Genomic DNA, 26679 nt, shown 5'->3' with positions numbered 1-26679 from the left:
GGACTTTTCCAGCTCCATTATACTCTTATGGGACCACCATAGTATAAGCAGTCCATCATTGACCAAAACATTGTTATGCAGCACATAACAATGAATATATATGAATATATATTCATTCACTGGGTTGGACAGAAACTTGATTAGTTCTCCAGGCCATAGGGACTCAGACTCACCTCAAATTTTGCTGCAATCATAAAGGCAGTGGCACCAAGGAGTTGTAACTTATCCTTCTTGCATACTGCCTTCATTAGGTAGAGATCCACCAGCTTCACTGCCAAGTACAGGGTCTCATGGGTCATCTCAAAGGACACCTGGAGGAACACACACACGACACAGATCTGCATATTGTCCAGCTCCAAAGTCGCCTCCAGACAGATCTAGCTACCTGGAGTATCTGCAACATCAAGAACAGTCCTGACTAGCTGGGACTCTGCTACGAATACAGAAACTGCTTCAGCTAGGTTCCTGTGTATATCTCCTGTGCCTTTGAGGACACTGGCATTATCTATCCTTACACATTTGGGTAGTTGACCAGCCTTACAAATCAGAGAGAAATGCTCTGCCTTCTCTATGAGAGCCTTGAGTGGACACATCCTCTCCCTTTGATCTCTAATACTTAGGTTCTTGCTTTCTCCATTTGCTGCCAACTTGTACAGTGACCTCCCAAAGGAGATGTTTATTTAGCTCTGAAATATGGAGTTTATTCATGTACTACTTTCTCTTCCCAACTAGATATGCTATCAGAATATATCAATTGGGAGCAGACACCAATAGCACAATTTGGAAGTGAGCTAAGGGACTGGAGAAGCCAGACTGGGATTAAAGTATTAATAATATAACCTCCTTCCCTTCTTTTTCTTTTCTGATTTCATTTGGGTTCTCTCTCATTTTTTTCTTAGTCTAGCTTATGGCTTGTCAATTTTATTTATCTTTTCAAAAAAATCAACGTTTTGTTTATCTTTTGTATTTTTTTTTTTTAGTCTCTATTTCATTTATTCTTGCCATCGTCTTTATTATTTCTTTCCTTCTACTAATTTTGGGTTAAAGCAGTTCTTGCTTTTCCAGTTCCTTAAGGTGCTTTGTTAGATTGTTTGATATTTGTCTACCTTTGTAAAGTTATTTATTTTTAAATTTTTACTTATTTATTTATTTATTTATTTATTTATTTATTTATTTATTTATTGAGACGGAGTTTCGCTCTGTCTCCCAGGCTGGAGTGCAGTGGTGCGATCTCGGCTCACTGCAAGCTCCGCCTCCCGGGTTCACGCCATTCTCCTGCCTCAGCCTCCCGGGTAGCCGGGACTACAGGCATCCGCCACCACGCCCGGCTAATTTTTTGTATTTTTAGTAGAGACGGGGGTTTCATCGTGTTAACCAGGATGGTCTCGATCTCCTGACCTCATGATCCACCTGCCTTGGCCTCCCAAAGTGCTGGGATTATAGGTGTGAGCCACCACGCCTGGCTGATCTTTGTCTACTTTTTAAATAAAATTTTGCTATAAATTTTCCTCTTAGTACCACTTTTGTTTTATCCCATAGGTTTTCGTATGTTGTATTTCTATTTTCATTTGTTTCAAGAATTTGATTTCCTTAATTTCATTGACCCATTTGTCATTCAGGGGCACGTTGTTTAATGTCCATGTATTTGTACAGTTTTCCAACTTCCTCCTGCTATTGATTTCTAGTTTCTTTTTCTTATGTATCCTTGTCTTGCCTTCACCAACTCCAAGAAACCATCTCCTATAGCCCTAGTCCCATGGTTTGTGCTGGCCCCTGCAGTACCTTTCTGCAAATTAGAAAAAAAGTGTCTTCTTTGGGTGAATGCAGCCCTTCAAGCCTACATCTTATCAAGTAGATAATACCTTTATATGAATTAGCCAAAGGTTACTCCTGCCTCAGGGCACAGCAGCCCCACAGCCAGAATGCACAGCTTGGCAAACAAAGTGTGAGCTAGATTCTATTGGTGGTTTCAGCCTTGGCTAGAGACCTTGTGTAGGCATAATTTGCACATCTATACACAAGAGTCCCATCCAATCTTCAGTGATGCTTCTTCCTCACAACCTCTTGGGTTCTTAGGATTCGAGAATAAAATCTGTCCTTATCCAACAACTCAACCAATGCATGAATGTTCTCTTTAACATCTCCACCAAGTAGTTGTTTAGATCCTGCCATACAAACCTCTAAATACAGCCCAATCTCTTTTTGAATGGCTTTAACAGAAAATTCTCCCTTATATTGAGTGACATTACCCTCCCTGTAAGTTTCACTTAAGTGGACCTCCCCTTGTATAGGTTACTCTTAATGACTGGTACCTAGATGATCCAAAAAGTATGTCAATGAGAAGCACTGGAGAAATTGATGTGTATTTTCATGGATGAATGATTATCCGAAGATGGTCAAATATAATGGTTCAGCAATACACATATTAAATTTCTGAATAACAGAAATACCAAGAAACAGTTCTTACTGTTTCTGGAATATGGCCTTGGATCTACTCAGAAACCTGTTCTGTGTTAGTTTCCTATTGGTGCCTGATATAGTTTGGATGTTGTCCCCTCTATATCTCATGTTGAATTGTAATCCCCAATGTGGGATGTGGGGCCTGGTGAGGTGTGTTTGGGTCATGGGGATGGAGCCTGCATGGCTTGGTGCTGTTCTGGCAATAGTGAGTTCTTGTGAGATCTGGTTGTCTAAAAGTGTGTGGCACCTTACCCCACCCCCTTGCCCCTGCTTTTGCCATGTGACATCCTGCTCTTGCTTTGCTTTCTGCCAAAAGTACAAGCTCCCTGAAGGGGCCTCCTCAGAAGCCAAGCAGATAGCAGTGCCATGCTTATATATCCTACAGATCTGTGAATCAAACCTCTATTTTTTCTTTTTTGAGAGACAGGATCTCGCTATGTTTACCAGGTTGATCTCAAACTCCTGGCCCCAAGCAATCCTCCCAAAGTGCTGGGATTACAGGCATGAGCCATCATACCTAGCCAAGCCTCTGCAAAAGAAAAATAAATCTTGGGACCCCAAAATCACTAAGCTAAAGAGAAAAGTCAAGGTGAGAACTGCTTAAGGCAAGTCTGCCTTTCATTCTATTCAGTCATCCCTCTGCTCAATGAGATAAATGCATATCTGATCGGTTCCTTTGGTAAGGCTAATCAGAAACTCGAAAGAATGCAACGATTTGTCTCTTATCTACCTATGACCTGGAAGCCCCCTCCCCACTTCGAGTTGTCCCATCTTTCCAGAGTGAACCAGTGTACATCTTACATATATTGACTAATGTCTCATTTCTCCCCAAAATGCATAAAACCAAGCTATGCCCTGACTACCTTGGGCACATGTCATCAGGACTTCCTGAGGCTGTGTCATGGAAGCAAAATAAACTTTCTAAATTGACTGAGACCTGTCTCAGATATTTTGGATTAACACCTCTTTTTAGAATAAATTACCCAGTCTCAGGTATTTCTTTGCAGCAGTGCAAAAATTGCCTAACACAGAAAATTGGTATCAAAGAGTGGGGCATTGCTATAAAGATACCTGAAAATATGGAAGCAACTTTGGAACTGGGAAATGGGCAGAGGATAGAAACATTTGGAGGGCTCAGAAGAAGAGAGGAAGATGAGGGAAAGTTTGAAACTTCTTAGAGACAGGTCAAATGGCTGTAACCAAAATGCTGATACTGACATGGACAGTGAAGTCCAGGCTAAAGAGGCCTCAGATGGAAATGAAAAATTTATTAGAAACTACAGCAAAAGTCACCCTTGTTATATGCCTTAGCAAAGAACTTGGCTATATTGTTAAGGGAGGAGACCACCCCTCATATTGTCTTGTGACCAATTTCTGCCTCAAAGAAAAAGTAGGAGTTAAAGAAAAGACAGAAGTGAAATCAGTAGTCAGACAGCCTGGCGCTGCATTCCAGGCCTGGTAGTTAAAAATTGACCCCTGACCTAACTGGTTATGTTATCTATAGATACCAGACATTGTATGGAAAAGCACTGTGAAAATCCCTGTCCTGTTCTGTTCCATTCTGATTACCAGTGCATGCAGCCCCCAGTCACATACCCACTGCTTGCTCAATCGATCATGTCCCTCTCACATGGACCCCCTTAGAATTGTAAGCCCTTAAAAGGGATAGGAATTGCTCACTCAGGGAGCTCGGTTTTTGGAGACATGAGTCCACCAATGCTCCCAGCTGAATAAAGCTGTTTCCTTCCACAACTCGGTGTCTGAGAGGTTCTTGTCTGCAGCTCATCCTGCTACATTTCTTGGTTCCCTGACTGGGAAGTGAGGTGATTAATGGACGGTCAAGGCAGCCCCTTAGGCGGCTTAGGCCTGCCCTGTGGAGCATCCCTGTGGGGGACTCCAGCCAGCTTGAGCAACGTGGATCCTGAGAGCGCTCCCGGGTAGGCAATTGCCCCAGTGGAACGCCTCACCAGAGCAGTGCATGGCAGGTGCCTGTGGAGGATCAATGCAGTGGCTGAACACCAGGAAGGAACTGGTACTTGGAGTCTGGACATCTGGAACTTGTTAAGACTGGTCTTTGGAACTTACCCCTCCATTTGAGTGGAAGCGTGGCCTAATCACCCATGACGTGCCTGCACTGGCACTTTGGTTTTTGTTTTTGACTTGACTTGGATTACTTGATACTTTGGTTTTGTTTCTGACCTGGCTGGGATTTCTTGATACTCTGATTTTGGTTTTGATTCTGGTTTGGTATAAACTGTAAAAGTGTGTGTGTGCCCTCTTTACCCATTCTGTTTTGTGGTGTGCGTGTGGTGTGAGCATGGTGTTTTGTCTCAAGGAAACATAGGTCAGGCACAAAGTAAGCCCACCTCACTAGGAACTATGTTGAAAAATTTCAAAAAGGGATTTAAGGGAGACTATGGAGTTACTATGACACCAGGAAAACTTAGAACTTTGTGTGAGATAGACTGGCCAGCATTAGAGGTGGGTTGGCCATCAGAAGGAAGCCTGGACAGGTCCCTTGTCTCGAAGGTATGGCACAGGGGAACCTGTAAGCCAGGGCACCCAGATCAGTTCCCGTATATAGATTCTTGGTTACAGCTAGTTTTGGATCCCCCACAGTGGTTAAGAGGACAGGCAGCAGCAGTACTAGTAGCAAAGGGACAGTTAGTTAAGGAAGGCTGTCACTCCACCCACCGAGGGAAGTCGGCACCAAAAGTCCTGTCCGAGCCAACACCGGAAGAATCATGGCAGGAATTGGTACCAGCAGTGCCTCCTCCTTATCGAGAGGAAGGGCTCCCCATTCCTGAGCCCACAGCACCTCCACTTCCACCAGATATCCATACTCCTAGACCACCCAGAGTAGACAAAAGAAGAAGTGAAGCCATGGGAGAAACTCCTCCCTTGGCAGCTCACTTACGGCCCAAGACTGAAATCCAAATGCCCGTGAGAGAACAGCAATATACTGGGGTAGATGAGGACAGACACATGGTGAAAAGGCAGCCTTTGTGTATCAACCTTTCACCTCTGCTGACCTCAATTGGAAAAATAATACTCCAACTTACACCGAAAAGCCTCAAGCTTTAATTGACTTGCTCCAAACTATTATACAGACTCATAATCCTACTTGGGCTGATTGCCACCAGCTGCTCATGTACCTCTTTAATACAGATGAAAGGTGAAGGGTGCTCCAGGCGGCAACTAAGTGGCTAGAGGAGCACGTCCTAGCCAATTACCAAAACCCTCAAGAATATAGAAGAATTCAGCTGCCAGGAACAGGCCACCAGTGGGACCTGAACAAGGGGCCAGACATGGAGAGGCTAAGACAGTACCATGCGGCATGGATAGAAGGTCTAAAGAAAGAGGCTCAAAAGGATACAAATGTAAATAAGGTCTCTGAGGTCATCCAAGGAAAAGAGGAGAGTCCAGCGCAATTCTATGAACGACTGTGTGAGGCTTACCGTATGTACACTCCTTTTGATCCAGATAGTCCTGAAAATCAGAGAATGATTAATATGGCCTTAGTCAAAGTGTGGAAGATATCAGGAGAAAATTGCAGAAACAGGCTGGGTTTGCAGGTATGAATACCTCGCAGTTACTGGAAATAACCAATCAAGTGTTTGTGAATAGAGATGCAACAAGCCCCAGAGAAAGCCGTAAGGAAGGCGAACGCCAGGCCAGGTGAAACACCGACTTACTGGCTGCGGCCATTAGGGGAATTCCCCCAAAAGGACAGGGAAAGGGGGGTTCCAGGAAGAATACCCAATCTAATCGCCCATGCTGCAATGTAACCAATGCGCCTATTGTAAGGAAATAGGACATTGGAAAGATAAGTGTCCCCAACTGAAGGAAAAGCAAGGTGATTCGGAGCAAAAGACCTCAGAAAAAGACAAGGGAGCTTTGTTCAATCTGGCTGAAGGGCAATTAGACTGAAGGGGACCCGGCTCAAGCGCCCCCAAGGAGCCCACGGTCAGGATTACAATTGGGGGCAAGGACATTAAGTTTGTGGTCGATACTGGTACTGAACATTCAGTAGTGACCACCCTGGTCACCCCCTTATCCAAGGAAACCATTGATATAATCAGAGCAACAGGAGTTTCCACTAAGCAGGCTTTCTGTCTACCATGGACCTTCTCAGTGGGGGGACATGAAATAGTTCACCAGTTCTTGTATATGCCTGACTGTCCCTTGCCTTTGCTGGGAAGAGACTTGCTTAGCAAGCTGAGAGCCACCATCTCCTTTACAAAACAGGGCTCTTTACAGCTAAACTTACCAGAAACAGGAGTTATCATGGCTCTTATGGTCACCAGGGAAAAAGAATGGAGACTTTTTCTGACCGAGCCAGGCCAAGAGATAAAACCAGCTCTAGCTAAGCGATGGCCCCGAATATGGGCGGATGATAATCCTCCGGGACTGGTGGTCAACCAAGACCCTGTACTCATAGAAGTTAAGCCTGGGGCCCAGCCAATTAGACAAAAGCAGTATCCGGTTCCCAGAGAAGCTCTCGAAGGAATCCAGGTTCATCTCAGGCACTTGAAAGCCTTTGGAATTATAGTTCCTTGCCAGTCTCCATGGAACCTCCCCTTCCTCCCTGTCCCTAAGCCAGGGACCAAGGACTACCAGCCAGTACAGGACTTGTGCTTGGTCAACCAAGCTACAGTGACTCTGCACCCAACAGTTCCTAACCTTTACACATTGTTAGGGCTGCTGCAGGCTGAGGACAGCTGGTTTACCTGTCTGGACTTAAAAGATGCCTTCTTTAGCATCAGACTAGCTCCTGAAAGCCAGAAGCTGTTTGCCTTTCAGTGGGAAGATCCGGAGTCAGGTGTCACTACTCAGTACCCTTGGACCCAGCTTCCCCAAGGATTCAAGAACTCCCTTACTATCTTCGGGGAGGCCCTGGCTTGAGACCTGCAAAAGTTTCCTGCTAAAGACCTAGGCTTGCTCCAGTACACGGACGACCTTCTGCTGGGACACTCCACAGCAGTCGGGTGCACAAAAGGGACGGATGCCCTGCTTTGGCACCTGGAGGACTGTGGGTATAAGGTGTCCAAGAAGAAAGCTCAGATCTGCAGACAGCAGGTACACTACCTGGGATTCACTATTCAGAAAGGGGAGCGCAGCCTGGAGTCAGAAAGAAAGCAGGTCATCTGCAGCCTACCGGAACCTAAAACCAGAAGGCAAGTAAGGGAATTCCTAGGAGCTGTGGGGTTCTGCAGATTATGGATTCCAAACTTTGCAGTGCTAGCCAAACCTTTGTACAGGGTTACAGAGGAGGCGACTGGGAGCCTTTTGAATGGGGGCCTCTACAACAGCAAGCCTTTTGTAAGTTAAAGGAAAAACTTATGTCGGCCCCCAGTCCCAGGACTACCAGATTTGACAAAGCCCTTTACACTCTATGTGTCAGAAAGAGAAAAAATGGCAGTTGGAGTTTTAACCCAGACTGTGGGGCCCTGGCCAAGGCCAGTGGTCTATCTCTCAAAACAACTAGATGGGGTTTCCAAAGTCTGGCCACCATGTCTAAGGGCCCTGGCAGCAACAGCCCTGTTAGCACAAGAAGCAGATAAACTAACCCTTGGGCAAAACCTGAATATAAAGGCCCCCCATGCTGTGGTAACTTTGATGAAAACCAAAGGACATCATTGGCTAACAAATGCTAGATTAACAAAGTACCAAAGCTTGCTGTGTGAAAATCCCCACATAACCACTGAAGTCTGTAACACCCTAAATCCCGCCACCCTGCTCCTAGTATCAGAGAGCCTGGTAGAGCATAACTGTGTAGAGGTGTTGGACTCAGTTTATTCTAGCAGACCTGACCTTTGGGACCAGCCATGGGCATCAGTAGACTGGGAGTTATACATGGACGGGAGCAGCTTCATCAACCCACAAGGAGAAAGATGTGCAGGATATGTGATGGTAACTTTGGATGCTGTCATTGAAGCCAAACCATTGCCACAGGGCACTTCAGCCCAGAAGGCTGAGCTCATTGCTTTAACTCGGGCTCTAGAACTCAGTGAAGGTAAGACTGTAAACATCTACATTGACTCTCGATATGCCTTTCTAACCCTCCAAGTGCATGGAACATTATATAAGGAGAAGGGTCTGCTAAACTCTGGGGGAAAGGACATAAAATATCAACAAGAAATTCTACAATTACTAGAGGCAGTGTGGAAACCTCAGAAGGTGGCAGTCATGCACTGCAGGGGACACCAGCGAGCCTCCATCTCAGTGGCCTTAGGAAGCTCTCGAGCTGATTCAGAAGCTTGAAAAGCAGCATCTACCCCTTACCAGGCATTGGTAGCAGCCCCCTTACTCCCTCAAACATCTGACCTGGTACCTACCTATTCTAAGGAAGAAAAAGACTTCTTCCATGCAGAAGGGGGGTAAGTAATAAAAGGAGGATGGATCAGACTGCCAGATGGGAGAGTAGCTGTGCCACAGTTGCTGGGAGCCACAATTGTATTGGCCATGCACGAAACCACTCATCCAGGTCAAGAGTCACTTGAAAAATTGTTGGGCCGGTACTTCTACATCTCACAGTTGCCAGCACTTGCCAAAGCCGTAACACAACAACAGTGTGTTACTTGCCAACAGCACAATGCGAGGCAAGGCCCCACTGTTCCACCCAGCATACAAGCTTATGGAGCGGCTCCTTTTGAGGATCTTCAGGTGGATTTCACAGAAATGCCAAAATGTGGAGGTAATAGGTACTTGCTGGTTCGTGTGTGTACTTACTCTGGATGGGTGGAGGCTTATCCAACACGAACTGAAAAGGCCTACGAGGTAACCCGTGTGCTTCTCTGAGATCTTATTCCTAGGTTTGGACTGCCCTTATGAATCGGCTCGGATAATGGGCCAGCATTTGTGGCTGACTTGGTACAGAAGACAGCAAAGGCATTAGAAATCACTTGGAAGCTACATGCCGCCTACCGACCTCAGAGTTCCGGAAAGGTGGAGCGAATGAATCGGACTATCAAAAATAGTTTAGGGAAAGTATGTCAGGAAACAGGATTAAAGTGGATACAGGCCCTTCCTATGGTATTGTTTAAAATTAGATGTACTCCTTCTAAGAAAACAGGATACTCCCCTTATGAAATACTGTATCATAGGCCTCCTCCTATACTACGGGGGGGCTTCCAGGCACTCCCTGAGAGTTAGGTGAAATTGAATTACAGCGACAGCTACAGGCTTTAGGAAAAATTACACAAACTATTTCAACTTGGGTAAATGAGAAATGTCCCATCAGCTTATTCTCCCCAGTTCACCCTTTCTCTCCAGGTGACCACGTGTGGATGAAGGATTGGAATGTAGCCCCTTTGCGGCCACAGTGGAAAGGACCTCAGACCGTCATCCTGACCACCCCCAAGGCTGTAAAGGTAGAAGGAATCCCAGCCTGGATCCACCACAGCCAATGAAATCTGGGAGGCGAAACCAAGCCTGGACAACCCCTGCAAAGTGACTCTGAGGACGACAAGCCCTGCTCCAGTCACACCCGGAAGCTGACTGGTCTACGCACAGCCGAAGCATGAGGAGGATCATCGTGGGACTCATTTTCCTTATAATTTGGACTTGTATAGTAAAAACCTCCACTGATTTTCCCCACATTGAGGACTGCTGTCAGTGTATACATCAGGTTACCGAGGTAGGGCAACAAGTTAAAACAATCTTTCTGTTCTATAGTTACTATGAATGCCTAGGAACTTTAAAAGGAACATGTTTATATAATGACACTCAGTACAAGGTATGTAGCCCAGGAAACAACCAGCCAGATGTGTGTTATGACCCCTCTAAGCCTCCCATGTCCACAGTTTTTGAAATAAGATTAAGGACTGAAGACAGGTGGGGACTCGTAAATGATATAAGTAAAGTATTAGCCAAAACAGAAGAAAAAGGGTGCCCAAATGCATAATCTTGAAATTTGATGCCTGTGCTGTCATTAATAGCAATAAGTTAGGAAGGGGATGTGGCTCTTTTGATTGGGAAAAAGGCTATATGACTGAAAATAAGTACATTTGTCATGAATTAGGACTGTGTGTAAATGAATGTGGATACTGGTCTTGTGTCATTTGGGCCACTTGGATAAAAAAATGAAAAGGATCCAGTCCACCTTCAGAAAGGAAAAAGTGGCTCTTCCTGTACTAAGGGACAATGTAACCCCTTAGAGCTGGTAATAACCAATCCCCTTGATTCTCGCTGGAAAAAAGGGGAGCGTGTGGCCTTAGGAATCAGTGGGGCCAGACTGAATCCTCGAGTAAATATCTTAGTTCGAGGAGAAGTTTACAAACGCTCTCCTGAGCCAATGTTTCAAACTTTCTATGATGAACTACATGTGCCAGTACCAGAAATTCCAGGAAAAACAAGAAATTTGTTTTTGCAATTAGCCGAGCATGTAGCCCAGTCTCTCAATGTCACTTCATGTTATGTATGTGGAGGAATTGTAATGGGAGACCAATGGCCATGGCAAGCCTGAGAATTAGTACCTACAGACCCAGTTCCTGATTAATTCCCGGCTCAGAAGAATCACCCTGATAATTTCTGCATCCTAAAAGCCTCAATTATTGGACAATATTGCATAGCTAGAGAGGGAAAAGAATTCACTCACCCCGTAGGATGACTTAGTTGTCTGGGACAGAAACTGTATAATGGTACCACAAAAACAGTCACTTGGTGGAGTTCAAATCACACAGAAAGGAATACATTTAGTAAATTCCCAAAGTTGCAAACCGTGTGGATCCACCTGGAGTCCCACCGGGACTGGACGGCGCCCACTGGATTTTACTGGATATGTGGGCATAGAGCTTATGCCAAATTACCCAACCAGTGGGCAGGTAGTTGTGTTATTGGCATTATTAAACCATCTTTCTTCCTACTGCCCATAAAAACAGGCAAACTCCCGGGCTGCCCTCTGTCCATGCTTCCCGCAAAAAGAGAAGCATAGCTATAGGAAATTAGAAAGATGATGAATGGTCCCGAGAGAATCATACAATATTATGGGCCTGCTACGTGGGCACAAGATGACTTGTGGGGATACCGGACCCCCATTTACATGTTCAACCAAATCATATAGTTACAAGCTGTCTTAGAAATAATCACTAATAAAACCAACAGAGCCTTGACTATTCTGGCCTGGCAAGAAACTCAGATAAGAAATGCTATCTATCAAAAGAGATTGGCTCTCAACTACTTGCTAGCAGCTGAAGGAGAGGTCTATAGGAAATTTAACCTTACTAATTGCTGTCTACACATAGATGATCAAGGGCAAGTAGTTGAAGACATAGAGATATGACAAAACTGGCACATATGCCCATGCAAGTGTGGCATGGATTTGATCTTGGGGCCATGTTTGGAAAATGGTTCCCAGACCTAGGAGGATTTAAAACTCTTATAATAGGAGTTATAATAGTAATAGGAACCTGCTTACTACTCCCTGTACTTCTTCAAGTGATAAAAAGCTTCATCGCTACCTTAGTTCACCAAAATGCTTCAGCACAAGTGTTCTATATGAATCACTATCGATCTGTCTTGCAAGAAGACGTAGGTAGTGAGGAAGAAAGTGAGAACTCCCACTAATGAGTGAGGTTCTCAAAGGGGTGGGTAGTAAGGGAGGAGACTACCCCTCATATTGTCTTATGACCAATTTCTGCCTCAAAGGAAAAGTAGGAGTTAAAGGCAGAAGTGAAATCAGTAGTCAGACAGTCTGGCGCTGCATTCCAGGCCTGGTAGTTAAAAATTGACCCCTGACCTAAACGGTTATATTATCTATAGATACCAGACATTGTATGGAAAAGCACTGTGAAAATCCCTGTCCTGTTCCGTTCCATTCTGATTACTGGTGTATGCAGCCCCAAGTCATGTACCCACTGCTTGCTCAATCGATCACGACCCTCTCATGCAGACCCCCTTAGAGTTGTAAGCCTTTAAAAGGGACAGGAATTGCTCACTCAGGGAGCTCGGTTTTTGGACACCTGAGTCCACTGATGCTCCCAGCTGAATAAAGCCCTTTCCTTCCACAACTCGGTGTCCGAGGGGTTCTTGTCTGCGACTCGTCCTGCTACATTGTGTCCATGCTCTAGGGATCTGTGGAAGTTTGAACCTAAAGTAACAACCTAGGATATCTGGCAGAATAAATTTCTAAGCAGAAAAGTGTTCAAGATGGGGCCTGCCTGCTTCTAAAAGCCTACACTCAGATGCAGGAGCAAATAAATCACTTAAAGTTGGGAGTTTATATTTAAAGAGGAAGCAGAGTGCAGAAGTTTGGAAAATGTGCAGCCTGGTCATGTGGTAGAAAAGAAAATACTGTTTTCAGGGAAAGAATCCAAGCAGGCTTAGGAACAACCACTGGCTAGAGAGATTTATATAACTAAAAAGGAGCCAAGTGCTAATAGCCAGGACAATGGGAAAAAGGCATTTAAAGCATTTCAGAGATATTCAAGGCAGCCCCTTCCATCACAGACCCAGAGGCCTAGGAGGGTGAGTGGGGGGCTGCTTCCATGTGCAGACTCAGGACACTGCTCCCCGCATCCCTGAAGCTCCAGCTGCAGTTCAAAGGGGCCCAAAGGGGCCCAGTTACTTAGGCCTGCTGCTCCAGAGGGTGCAAGCCATAAGCCCTGGCAGCTTCCATGTGGTGTTAAGTCTGTAGGCACACAGAGTGCAAGAGTGAAGGAGGCTTGGCACCCTCCACCTAGATTTCAGAGGATGTATGGAAAAACCTGGATGTCCAGGCTGAATCCTGCTGCAGGGGTGGAACCCCCACAGAGAACCTTTATGAGGGCAGTTTGGAAGGGAAATATGGGGTTGAACCCCCTCACTAGAGTCCCCACTCTGGAGTCCCACTAGGCAGTGGGATACTGCCTAGTGGAGCTATGGGAAGGGGGCCACCATCCTCCAGACCCCAGAATTGTAGAGCCATGGGCAGCTTGCATCCTGAGCCTAGAAAAGCCACAGGAACTCAACTCCAGCCCATGAGAGAAGCTACCGGGGCTGAACCCCATAAAGTCACAGGGGCAGAGCTGCCCAAAGCCTTAGGAGCCCACCCCTTGCAGCAGTGTGCCCTGCATGTGGAACACGGAGTCAAAGGAGATTGTTTTGGAGCTTCAAGATGTAATGACTTTAATACATTTAAGATTAAATGACACGGCTTGAGATTTAAACCCTACTGGGTTTCAGACTTATGTGGGGGCCTATAGCCCCTTTCGTTCATTCTCCCTTTTGGAATGGGAGTATTTACCCAATACCTGTACCTCCATTGTATCTTGGAAGTAAATAACTTGTTTTGATTTTATAGGTTCATAGGTAAAAGGAACTTGCCTTGTCTCAGATAAGACTTTGGACTTGATGCTGGAATGAGTTAAGATTTGGGGGGACTATTGGTAGGGGATGATTGTAATTTACAATGTGAGAAGAATGTGAAATTTGAGGGGCCAGGGGTGAAATGATATAGTTTGGATGTTGTCCCCTCTAAATTTCATGGTGAATTGTAATCCCCAGTGTTGGAGGTGGGGCCTGGTGGGAGGTGTTTGGGTCATGAGGACAGATCCCTCATGGCTTGGTGCTGTCCTCATCATAGTGAGTTCTTGCAAAATCTGGTTGTTTAAAAGTGTATGGCACTTCCCCCACTTGTTCCTGCTTTCGCCATGTGATGTGCTTCCTCCTGCTTCACCTTCTGCAATGAGTAAAAATCTCCATGAGGCCTCCCCAGAAGCTGAGCAGATGCCAGCATCATGCTTACACAGCCTGCAGAACTGTGAGCCAATTAAACTTCTTTTTTGTTTAAATACATTACCCGGTCTCAAGTATTTCTTTATAGCAATGTGACAATGATCTAACACAGTACTATAATAAATTACCACAAACATAATGCCTTACAACAACACCAATTCTTTATATTACAGATCTAGAGGCCAGAAGGCCAAAATGAGTCTCACTGGGTTAAAAATCAAGGTGTCATCAAGGCTGTGTTGCTTTCTGGAGGTTCTAGTAAAGAATCAATTTTCTTTTTTTTCTAGCTTCTAGAGGCAGCCTGCATTCCTTGTTTTGTGGGCCCTTCCACCTTCAAAGCCAGCAATAGCCAGCCAAGTTGTTCTCACATTGTATCACTCTCTGCCTCCCTTTTCTATATTTAAGTATCCTTGTGATTACATTGGGCCCACTTGGGTAATCGAGGATAATTGCATATCTTAAATTAAGCTGATAGCAACCTTAATTCCATCTGCTACCTTAATTCCCCTTTACTAGATAAGGTAACATATGTACAGGTTCTATGGATTAGAAAATGGACTTTTTCTTCTGCCTATCACACTGTCTAAAGGAATGTCAAGAGAAAGGGATGGGACGAGCTCATGCATGTGAAAAGTAATGACTACCACGTTAAGTATCAAGAAATTACAGTAAGGTGATTATGAAAAATAAAAAGAGGATAGGAATAGAAAGCAGCAGTTCTCTAAGGATAATGCCTCTGTGAGCAAATGCCATAGCTAGTGCTTGCATAGCCTCCTAGTACCTCACATAGGCACTTGGCCACTTATGCATGCATTCATGCGTGTTGGTATCAAGTGGTAACATCAAAGTGTGTGGATTATATCTGAATGAATGGTCGAAATCTAGAGTCAATAAATATTTAAAACACAAGCTGTGTCAGTTATAGCAATTCTCCTTCCTTGAATGTAAGATGATACCCTTCTAACATAATTCTACCACTTGGAAACACATAGAACAAGTCTAATCCTTCTTGTGACAGCCCTTTAACTACTGAAGATAGTTATTATGTCTCCTATAAATCTTTCCCATTCTAGAACAAATAACTTGACTTCCTCTAACTATTCTTCACATGATATGGTTTTCAGCCCTCTCAGCATCAGGCTCCAAACAAGGGTCTTTGTGCTGGTCAGAAAATAGGGGCAGTGCTCCAGGTAATTTAAAGCAGCTACAACAAATATGGACAAGAAGTCCCTCAGCACATTAGCAAGATTCTCTCCTTTCCTCACAAGTGCTTCTGGTTAGAACACTCTTCCAATTCTTCAGAAACAACTGCTTTCCCTGTCTAGAGATGGGTAAGAAGAAACAAAAGGAAAGTAACAAATAAATCAAAACTATAGAACATATAAAGAGTACTCGTAGTCTTGAACTAGGAGACAAATCTGATAAAATCTGCCTCAAATTCCAAAACTCAAAGATCACCTTCTACAAATACAAACAGAGAAAATCAACCAGATGTATGAAAAAAGAACAAGTAATTTTTAAAGGAGAAAAATCCTGAAGAATCAGAGTAAGTGTCTATTTATGCAATCTTTTTGCTCCAAAGAACTGAAATATACTTTTAAAGAGTACACCCTCAACAAGGTCTGAGAGGACACTGAATCTATGAAAAGACGACATTCTGGAATCCAGAAAGACTGATTTCTGATGAAAAAAAGAACTAATTTAAGCAATGTAACAGAGGCAGTGAACAGCATATTAGATACTGCCAAAACCAAATCAATTATTCCAAAGGCTATCTTAAGAAATTCTCCCAGAATTAAGAGATAAAAGAAAGTTGAAGATAATGAATAAAAACTTGAGGGAATAAATTCTGGAGACACACATACACACACGAAGAGAAAAGGAAGACGGGTAATAATGTCAAAAAATAAAAGATAAAAATTTATCTGAGTCAAAGAAATAATGAACTTTTAGACTGAAAGGACTCACAATATACCAGACAAAATTAAGGAAAACAGGCTCACATCTAGAAATGTCAAAAATAATTATCCATAGGGAAGACAATATATTACATATAATCTGGATCTAAAACCCTAGACTATTTTAACTAAAATCAGAAGAAGGAATGAACTAAAATATGCAAATTATCTCAGCTTACTTGAGGGGAAATTAACAGACCAGGTCTATCAAAAGAGTTGGTTAACAAAATAAACACTATATTCACATAAAAGGATATCATGCTGCAGTTTAAAAGAATGTCATAGATCTATACTTATATGGAAAGATGACTAAGACTTATTCCTAAAAATCAAGGTGCAAAGCAATGTGTACAGCATAACCTATTCATATTATTCATACAACAAAAATATCATATAACCCACACCCATTAAAAGCTATATTTCATGTATTGCTCATATAACTTAGGATTTTAAAAGAAAGGATAATAAAAAAAAAACTTTAAAAAAGTGATGAGACATATAATAAAGGATCTGTAAGGATACACCCTAAACAATTTATAGTTGTTACCCCACAGAGTTAGGAGAAAAGGGTTATTATGTACACACACACAAACACACACACACATATATATGAACATTTGCACATATACACAGTGAACAAATGTAAACCAGAAACAGCCAATCCTTCAGGATGGATCCTCAGTAGCTACCTGGGCCTAAATTTAAAATACAGTCAAGTGACCATTTGCTGACTAGAGGTCACATAGGTGCTCAGAGGTCTGTGGAAAACCCACACTTTTTAAATTTTGAGGTTTTCGGAGTTCACTTGCCTTGGCCAATCAGGGTTCAGCTGTACCAGCCAATGAAGGTTCCACTGTATCAACCAATCAGAACTCAGCTATGTATACCATCTACCAATCAGAACTAAGCAAGTTTGAATTTTTCATTTGCATAAATAGACCAGATTGGCAACCTTGGTGTGAACCTTTGCTGGAAAACCTAAACCCTTAATTTTTTTTCTCAGGAGCACACCTTTGTTTTACACTGAAGGCTGGTATCTCCTAGTTTGCAAACTGTTCACTGGAATAAAGTCTCTTTCCTCAAAATTCCTTTTTGGAATTTTTCAGTTAAAATATTGTATAAGTCAAGGAAGTTAAGGTAGGATGGCAGAGGTGAAGAAATGCCAGGAGAAATTAACTAAACAATAATATTTGTGGGTAGTTACCATACTGCTCTTAGGCTTTGATAAATTAGAAAAAATAAATTAGCATATAAATTATATAATTATTAAGCCAAAATTGATATAATGATCATTGTACCCTATAGAGAATACAGTTCTTCAGTGAATCATTTATACAAACTTATTATACCTGAAACCATGAAGAAAACCTTATTAACTTTAAGAAAGAAATTATCATTCAGGTCACATTTTCAATACACAATGAAATACCTCTAGAAATTTATAATAAAAGGATAAATCAAAGAAAAGGAAATATTTTTAAAATGTTAAGCACTAAAAAAACAACAAAAAACAGGGTCGAAGAGGAAATAAAAATTGCAACTGCAGATTATTGAGAAAAATCAAGATAGCTACAACACTATTTTTCAAAATTAATTGGATATACTCAGAACTATACTTAGAAGAAAATGTATAGCTTTGAATCTTTTGTTATGAAGTCAAGAATAATTAAAACAGACTAAGCATTCAATTCAAGCAGCCAGGGAAAACAACAAAATAAACCTTAGCAAAACAAGAATAAAATAAAAATAAAAGCAGATGTTAAATGAATTTTTAAAACAGAAAAGGTATATATTTACCCATGAGCTGGTTCTTTGAAAAGACAAAGAGGATTTTTAAAAAACTGCTTGTGAGGAAAATTGAAGAAAAGAATATGTAGATATGAATGCAAGCACATGTGAGGAAGATAACACATCACGCAATGAGTGAGAAAAGAAATCATTATAAAGGGTTATAAAATGATATTATGTACAATCTATGATAATAACAATATATCCAAGAAATGGATACATTTTTAGGAAAATATAAACTACAAGGCCAGGCACAGTGGCTCACACCTGTAATCCTGGCACTTTGGGAGGTCGAAGAGGGTGGATCATTTGAGGTTCAGGAGTTTGAGACAAGCCTGGCCAACATGGTGAAACCCCGCCTCTACTAAAAGTGCAAAAATTAGCCAGGCAGTAGTGGCGCACGCCTGTAATCCCAGCTACTCTGGAGGCTGAGGCAGGAGAATAGCTTGAGCCTGGGAGGCAGAGATTGCGGTGAGCCGAGATTGCGGTGAGCCAAGGTGGCGCCACTGCACTCCAGTCTGGGTGACAGAGTGAGACCCTGTCTCAAAACAAAACAAACAAACACAAAAAAGTAAAATATAAACTACAAAAATGACTCAAGAAGGGCAAGAAAACCTTACTAGGCCAATAGCCATTGTTATTATAAAAATTTCTCAAAGAATCACACACAAAAATGGCACTATATATTGATGGGTTCATGGACAAGTTCTTCAAGGAAAATACAATTCCTGTGTTAAATTTAGTACTGCCAGAAAATTTCCCTAATTATGTTAAAAAGCTAGAGTAATCCTTTATAAAGACCTTTATTAAATCTTTACCACACTTAATAATGACAGCATCCTTCAACAGAAACTTAAAAAGGAATCTGATTTATGAGCAAAGATGCAAAAATTGTAAATAAAGTATAAGCATATCAAGTGCAAGAGTAAATTAAATGAATCATGACTAACTTCAGCAAAGTAGATGAACATAAAATACATTAAAAAATCAACTGTTTCCCAATATACTAGTAATAAATTTTTTTTATTATACTTTAAGTTCTAGGGTACATGTGCACAACGTGCAAGTTTGTTACATATGTATACATGTGCCATGTTGGTGTGCTGCACCCATTAACTCATCATTTACATTAGGTATATCTCCTAATGCTATCCCTCCCCCCTCCCCCTACCCCACAACAGGCCCCAGTGTGTGATGTTCCCCTTCCTGTGTCCATGTGTTCTCATTGTTCAACTCCCACCTGAGTGAGAACATGCGGTGTTTGGTTTTTTGTCCTTGCGATAGTTTGCTGAGAACGATGGTTTCCAGCTTCATCCATGTCCCTACAAAGGACATGAACTCATCATTTTTTATGGCTGCATAGTATTCCATGGTGTATATGTGCCACATTTTCTTAATCCAGTCTATCATTGTTGGACATTTGGCTTGGTTCCAAGTCTTTGCTAATGTGAATAGTGCTGCAATAAACATACATGTGCATGTGTCTTTATAGCAGCATGATTTCTAATCCTTTGGGTGTATACCCAGTAATGGGATGGCTGGGTCAAATGGTATTTCTAGTTCTAGATCCCTGAGGAATCGCCACACTGTCTTCCACAATGGTTGAACCAGTTTACAGTCCTACCAACAGTGTAAAAGTGTTCCTATTTCTCCACATCCTCTCCAGCACCTGTTGTTTCCTGACTTTTTAATGATCGCCATTCTAACTGGTGTGAGATGGTATCTCATTGTGGTTTTGATTTGCATTTCTCTGATGGCCAGTGATGATGAGCATTTTTTCATGTGTTTTTTGGCTGCATAAATGTCTTCTTTTGAGAAGTGTCTGTTCATATCCTTTGCCCGCTTTTTGATGGGGTTGTTTTCTTCTTGTAAATTTGTTTGAGTTATTTGTAGATTCTGGATATTAGCCCTTTGTCAGATGAGTAGATTGCAAAAATTTTCTCCCATTCTATAGGTTTCCTGTTCACTCTGATGGTAGTTTCTTTTGCTGTGCAGAAGCTCTTTAGTTTAATTAGATCCCATTTGTCAATTTTTACTTTTGTTGCCATTGCTTTTGGTGTTTTAGACATGAAGTCCTTGCCCATGCCTATGTCCTGAATGGTATTGCCTAGGTTTTCTTCTAGAGTTTTTATGGTTTTAGGTCTAACATGTAAGTCTTTAATCCATCTTGAATTAATTTTTGTATAAGGTATAAGGAAGGGATCCAGTTTCAGCTTTCTACATATGGCTAGCCAGTTTTCTCAGCACCATTTATTAAATAGGGAATCCTTTCCCCATTGCTTGTTTTTGTCAGGTTTGTCAAAGATCAGATGGTGGTAGATGTGTGGTATTATTTCTGAGGGCTCTGTTCTGTTCCATTGGTCTATATCTCTGTTTTGGTACCAGTACCATGCTGTTTTGGTTACTGTGGCCTTGTAGTATAGTCTGAAGTCAGGTAGCATGATGCCTCCAGCTTTGTTCTTTTGGCTTATGATTGACTTGGCAATGTGGGCTCTTTTTTTGGTTCCATATGAACTTCTTTAAAGTTCATATGGAACCAAAAAAAAAAAACTAGCAATAAATTTTAAAAGGGAAAAAGGATAACACTCATAACATTTAAAAAATTCTCAATACTCAAGAAAAACATTTTTAAGTTAGTGAGACCAATATGAAGAAAATTTTTTAAAAATTGAAATTGTAAAAGACCTGGGAAGTAAATAGACACAACATAACTGGCTTAGTAAGTTCGACATTATAAAGTCTGTGAATTTTTCCTGAATTAATCCTAATGGGCTATTTTTGAAAACTCGACAAAATTATTCTACAGCTCACCTGGAAGAATTAATGTGCAAGAACAACCAGGAATATTTTATAAAAGATGAGTAAAGAGGCAATAAATGTATTACAAAGCCATAATAATATAATAATAAAACAGCATGCTACTGATGTTAGAGTAGACAAATAATATATAATAAAAACAGTATACTACTGATGTTAGAGTAGACAAATAGATCAATGGAAGAGAATTGGAAAGACTACAAACTGAAGTATTATGATAAAGGTGTCATTTCAAACCAGTGTATAATGAAAATAAATGGTGTTAGAATAACTGGATAATCATTGGAGAAAGTTGTTTAGATTCTGACACCCAATAGACTAAGGATTTAAAAGTAGAAATGAAACTATAAATATTCTAGAAAAAATTTTGTAGAAATAGTTATATAATTCTGGACTAATGACTTTCCTAAGCAAGAAACAAATCTTAAAGTTATAAGAACTGATAAACTTGACTACTTAAAATGCCAGTGCTTCTGTACAGCTAACTAAAATAACACATTAAAATTTTTCACTTATCAGATGGTAAAAAATATAACTTCTTTTGTTGATAAGATTATGGGAAAATAAGCATTTTCATTCAGTAATGGTAAAAGCATAAATGGTCATGACATTTCAGAAGGATAGCTGTCAACATGTACAAAAATTTTTCATGTGCATCTTTTGATCTAATAATCCTATTCCTAGTCATTTGGTCCGGAGAAACAATAGTAAAATTGTTAAAAAATGCACATTTATGTATATTCACTACAGGGTTATTTCAAAGAGCAATATTTGAAAATAACCTAAATGTCCATTAATAGCAGGATGGGTATGATAGAAGAGAAATACCATACTGCAAATAAAATGGATATAGAAATACATCAGTTTGACTGGAAAGATGATTGCAATCATATAACCATTGTTATATGAAGAAAAAGTCAGAAATAAATATAAAGAAGATATAATAATCCTAAATGTGTATGTTCCTAACAACAGAACTTCAAAAAACACAAAGCAAAAAATGACAAAACTTAGAAATAGACAAATCCACAATTATAGTTGAAGACTTCAGTACTCCTCTCTCAGTAACAGAATTATTACACAGAAAATCACCATGGATAATAAAGAAATTAAACCATAAGCAAGAAGAAAGAAAACTATTTTTTAAATAGTTATAAAATTATAAAAATTATAAAATTATAAAAATTAGAGCAGATATGAAGAATACTAAAAACAGAAAAATAAAGAAAAATGGATGAAACCAAAATCTGGCTCTTTGGAAAGATGAATAAAATTAATAAACCTCTAGCAAGACTGATAAACAAAACAAGAGAAGACACAAATTACCAGTATCAGGAATGAAAGAGGGAACACTATGAAAAACTCTATGCACATAAATTTGACAGCTTAGACGGAAGGGACCAACTCCTTGAAAACCACAAACTACCAAAAGTCACCCAATATGAAATAGATAACTTAAATAACCTTATAAATATTAAAGAAATGATATTCTTCACTGAAAACCTTTTGGGAAAAACTCTCCAGGCTCCAATGTTTTCGCTTGCAAATTCTACCAACATTTAAAGAAGAAATAACATCAATTCTACACATCCCTTCCAGAAAACAGAAGGGTTGGGGATAATTCCCAACTTATTTTACAAGATCACTATTATTCTGATACCAGAACAAAAAACAAACAAACAAAAAACCCAATCAGAACACTACAGACCAACATCCCGACATCCATCATAAACATAGATGTAAAAATCCTCAACAAAATATTAGCAAATCAAATCCAGCAATACCTAAAAAGAAAAATATACCAGGACAAAATGGGGTTTATCTCAGGAATATAAAAATAACGTTGCTCCCATTTTTGAAGATCAATTGATTTAACTTACTATATTAGGCTAAAACAAAAAAAAATCAATAGATGCAGGAAAAAAGCATTTGACAAAGTTCAACATTTATTCATGATAAAAAAATATATTACGCAGGATTAAACTAGAAATAGAAAGTAACTTTCTCAACCTGATCAAAGGTGTTTACAAAAATCCTACAGCTAAAATCACACTAATAGTTAAAGTCAATGCTTTCCTCCTAAGATCAGGAGTAAGGCAATGCTGTCCACTCTTACTGCATCTATATCAACATCATAATGGAAGTCTCAGGCAGTATAATAAAACATGAAAATAAAATAAAAAGCATGGAGATTAGAAAGGAAGAAATAAAACGGTCCCCATTTGCAGATGATTCAATTATCTATGTAGATAACCCCAAGAAATCTACAAAAAAAGAACTCCTGAGTTTTAGCAAAGTCACAGAATACAAGGTCAACACACAACTATCAACCATATTTCATACTGGCAATGTATAAATAGAAAGCTAAATTTAAAAAACATAATTTACAATAGCTTCAAGAGAAGAAAATATTTTTTATAAATCTAACAAAACATGTATAGGATCTATATGATGAGAAAAATAAATCAAAGAAAATTTAAATAAATGGAGAGACATACCATAGGTTGGAAGATTCAACATAGTAACGCGCCAATTCTATCTGAACTCACCTATAGATGTGTATTGGGGTTCCCTAAGACCACCTCAAGCACAATGATTTCCTAGGATGGCTCATAGGACTTAGCATATAGTCATACTCATGACTATGATTTATTTCAGTGAAAGGATACAAAGCAAAATCAGCAAAGGGATAAGAAGCATGGGGCAAAATCTGGAAAAAGCCACAAGCAAGCTTCCAAGAGTCCTGTCAGTAGTCACTTCAGGATGCACTTAATTCCTCTAGCAATGAGTTGTGACAACACATGGAAAGTGTTGTCTACCAGGGAAGCTTACTATCACTCAGTGCCCAAAATTTTATTGGGAACTGGTCAAGTAAACACTCTGTGCCTAGCATGTTCTGAAGTTCCAGACTCCCAAAAGGAAAGCAGGTGCTCAGCCTAAACCACACTGTTTGCATAAAGAGTTTAAGCACAGTAAGCCACAATTAACATTCGGGGAAGTTTTATATCAGTGTGGGGACTGCTTACCGGCCAAGTTTCCAGATTACCAGCCAAGGGCCAACCTTGCAAACAGACCTTTCTAGGGATAGCAGTATCAGGCCTATTATTTTAACTCTTTTCTGCACAAAATATATTTCAATTCCAATCAAACTCCTAGAAATATTTTTAAGATATAATCTGATTCTAAAATTTACATAGAAAGGCAAAGGAACTAGAATAGCTAAAACAGGTGTTTTTTGCTTTGTTGTTGTTGTTGTTGTTTTGAGATGGAGTCTCGCTCTATCGCCCAGGCTGGAGTGCAGTGGCCCGATCTTGGCTTACTGTAACTTCCGCCTCCCAGGTTCAAGCGATTCTCCTGCCTCAGCCTCCTGAGTAGCTGGGATTACAGGTGCCTGCCACCATGCCCGGCTAATTTTTGTATTTTTAGTAGAGACGGAGGTTTCACCACGTTGGTCAGGCTAGTCTCGAACTCCAGACCTCATGATCCACCCACCTCAGCCTCCCAAAGTGTTGGGATTACAGACATGAGCCACCATTCCTGGCCAGTTTTTTTTTTTTTTTTAAGAATAGAGTTGAAAATATCACAATACCCAGTTTTAAGACTAACTATAAAACTACAGAAATAAAGACAGTGTGATATTGGTGAAGGAAGAGACACAGAGATAAAGGAAACAGAATATTGGTATAGACCCACAGAAACTGTTTTTAGCAAGGTGCAAAAACAATTCCATGAAGAAAGTATAGTTTTTAATTCCCACACGTGGCATTAGAACAATTAGACACTCATATGCAAAAAAAGAACCTTGACCTAAATCTCACACCTTATACAAAAATTAACTAAAAATGGACTATAGATTTAATGTAACATGTAAAACTATAAACCTTTGAGATAAAATATAGGAAAGAAGTCGGGCACAGTGCCTCACGCCTGTAATCACAGCACTTTGGGAGGCTGAGGCAGGCGGATCACCTGAGGTCAGGAGTTTGAGACCAGCCTGGCCAACATGGTGAAACTTCATCTCTACTAAAAATACAAAAATTAGCCAGGCAGGGTGGCGGGCACCTGTAATTCCAGTTACTGGGAAGGCTGAGGCAGGAGAATTGCTTGAACCTGGGAGGCGGAGGTTGCAGTAAGCTGAGACCACACCATTGCACTCCAGCCTGGGCAACAAGAGCAAAACTCCATCTCATAAATAAATAAATAAATACATACATACATACATACATACATAAATTTAAATACACACACACACATACACATGAGAGAGAGAGACAGAATATTCCTGACCTAGGTTTAGGCAAAGAGTCCTTAGAAGTAAGTATAATCCATAAAGAAGGCATTGATAAACTGGACTTCATCAAAATTAAAAACTTTTGCTCTGGGAAAGACACTGGTAAGAGAAAGAAAAACTACAGACTGAGAGGATATATTTATAAATCACATATCCAACAAAGGATTTGTATCCAGAATACATAAAGAACTCTCGTAACTTGACACTAAGGAAACGAACTACCTATTTATAACTGGGCAAAAGACTTGAATAGACATTTCATCAAAGAGGATATATGCATGACAAGTATGGTTGTCAACATTATTAACCCTTAAGGAAATAAAAATTAAAACTATGAGGAGATTCCTCTATACACCTATTAGATGGTTAAAATAAAGTACTAACAAAACCAAGTGCTGACAAGAATGCAGAGCAACCAGAACTCTCATGCATTGGAGGTGAGAATGCAAGATGTACAGCCACTCTGTGGCAATTTCTAATTAAGTTAAACATACACTTACCATATGTCCCAATGATCCCACTCCTGTGTGCTGACATTAGAAATTAAAACATATCTTCACATAAAAACCTGTACATTAATGTACAGTTCTTTTCACAGTCATCAAAAACTGGAAACAAACTAAATACCCTTCCACAGGAGAATGGATAAACTGTGATATATCCGAACCATAGAATACCACTCAGCAATAAAAAGAATGAACTAATGATATCTGCAACAACTTGAATAAATCTTAAAGGCATCATACTGAATGAAAGAAGCCAGTCTCATAAGGTTACATATAACACAAACATTTATACAATATTCTTGAAAAGGCAAAGATAGAGAATAGATTAGTGGTTTCCAGGAGTTAGGGGTGGAAGGTGGGTGTGACTCTAAACGGATAACATAAGGAAGTTTTTATGGCGTAGTCAAACTGTTCTATTTCCTAATCATAGTGGCAGTTACACAAATCAATACATATGCTAAAAATTCACAGAACTGTCACACTCTTCAGTATTAATCCCAGAGAAATAAAAACTATATTCACAAAAAAGCTGTATGCAAATATTCATAGTAATTTTATCCTTAATAGCCAAAAACTAGTAACAACCCAAATGTCCTTCAATAGGTGAATGGTTAAACACACCGTGTGTATTAGTCCATTTTCATACATCTATGAAGAAATACCTGAGACTGGGTAATTTATAAAGAAAAGAGGTTTAACGAACTCACAGCTCCACATGGCTGTGGAGGCCTCACAATCATGGAAAAAGGTGAAGGAGGAACAAAGCCACATCTTACACGGAGGCAGGCAAGAGAGTGTGTGCAGGAGAACTGCCTTTTATAAAACCATCTGATCTCGTGAGACATATCCACTATGACAAGAACAATATGGGAAAAACTCACCCCCATGATGCACTTACCTCCCACTGCGTCCCTCCCACAACACGTGGGGATTATGGGAGCTATAATTCAAGATAAGATTTGGGTGTGGACATAGCCAAACCATATTACCGTGGTACATCTGTACCATGGAATACTACTTAGCAACAAAAAGGAATGAACTATTCATACACACAACTTGGATGGATCTCAAGGGAATTACGGTGAGTAGTAAACATCAAGCTCAAAAGGCTATACACTGTATGATTCCATTTATATAACATTCA

The 26679-nt window shown here is 40.5% G+C and overlaps 1 protein-coding gene across 10 annotated transcripts in view; it reads right to left on the bottom strand.

Annotated features, from left to right (window-relative positions):
• CCNB3 (cyclin B3) overlaps nucleotides 1-26679 on the bottom strand; it is a 149202-nt gene that overhangs the window by 9402 nt on the left and 113121 nt on the right. For all 10 annotated transcript variants that reach the window (XM_017029915.1, XM_047442599.1, XM_047442600.1 and 7 more), the window contains one exon: nucleotides 174-311. In XM_017029915.1, the coding sequence (XP_016885404.1) occupies nucleotides 174-311 (138 nt within the window). The remainder of the gene's footprint in view (nucleotides 1-173; nucleotides 312-26679) is intronic.

This window comes from Homo sapiens, chromosome X (assembly GCF_000001405.40).
Source record: "Homo sapiens chromosome X, GRCh38.p14 Primary Assembly".
Classification (NCBI taxonomy): Eukaryota; Metazoa; Chordata; class Mammalia; order Primates; family Hominidae; genus Homo; species Homo sapiens.
Note: the sequence above shows the minus strand (reverse complement) of the source record. Positions and strands in the feature narration are given on the sequence as shown.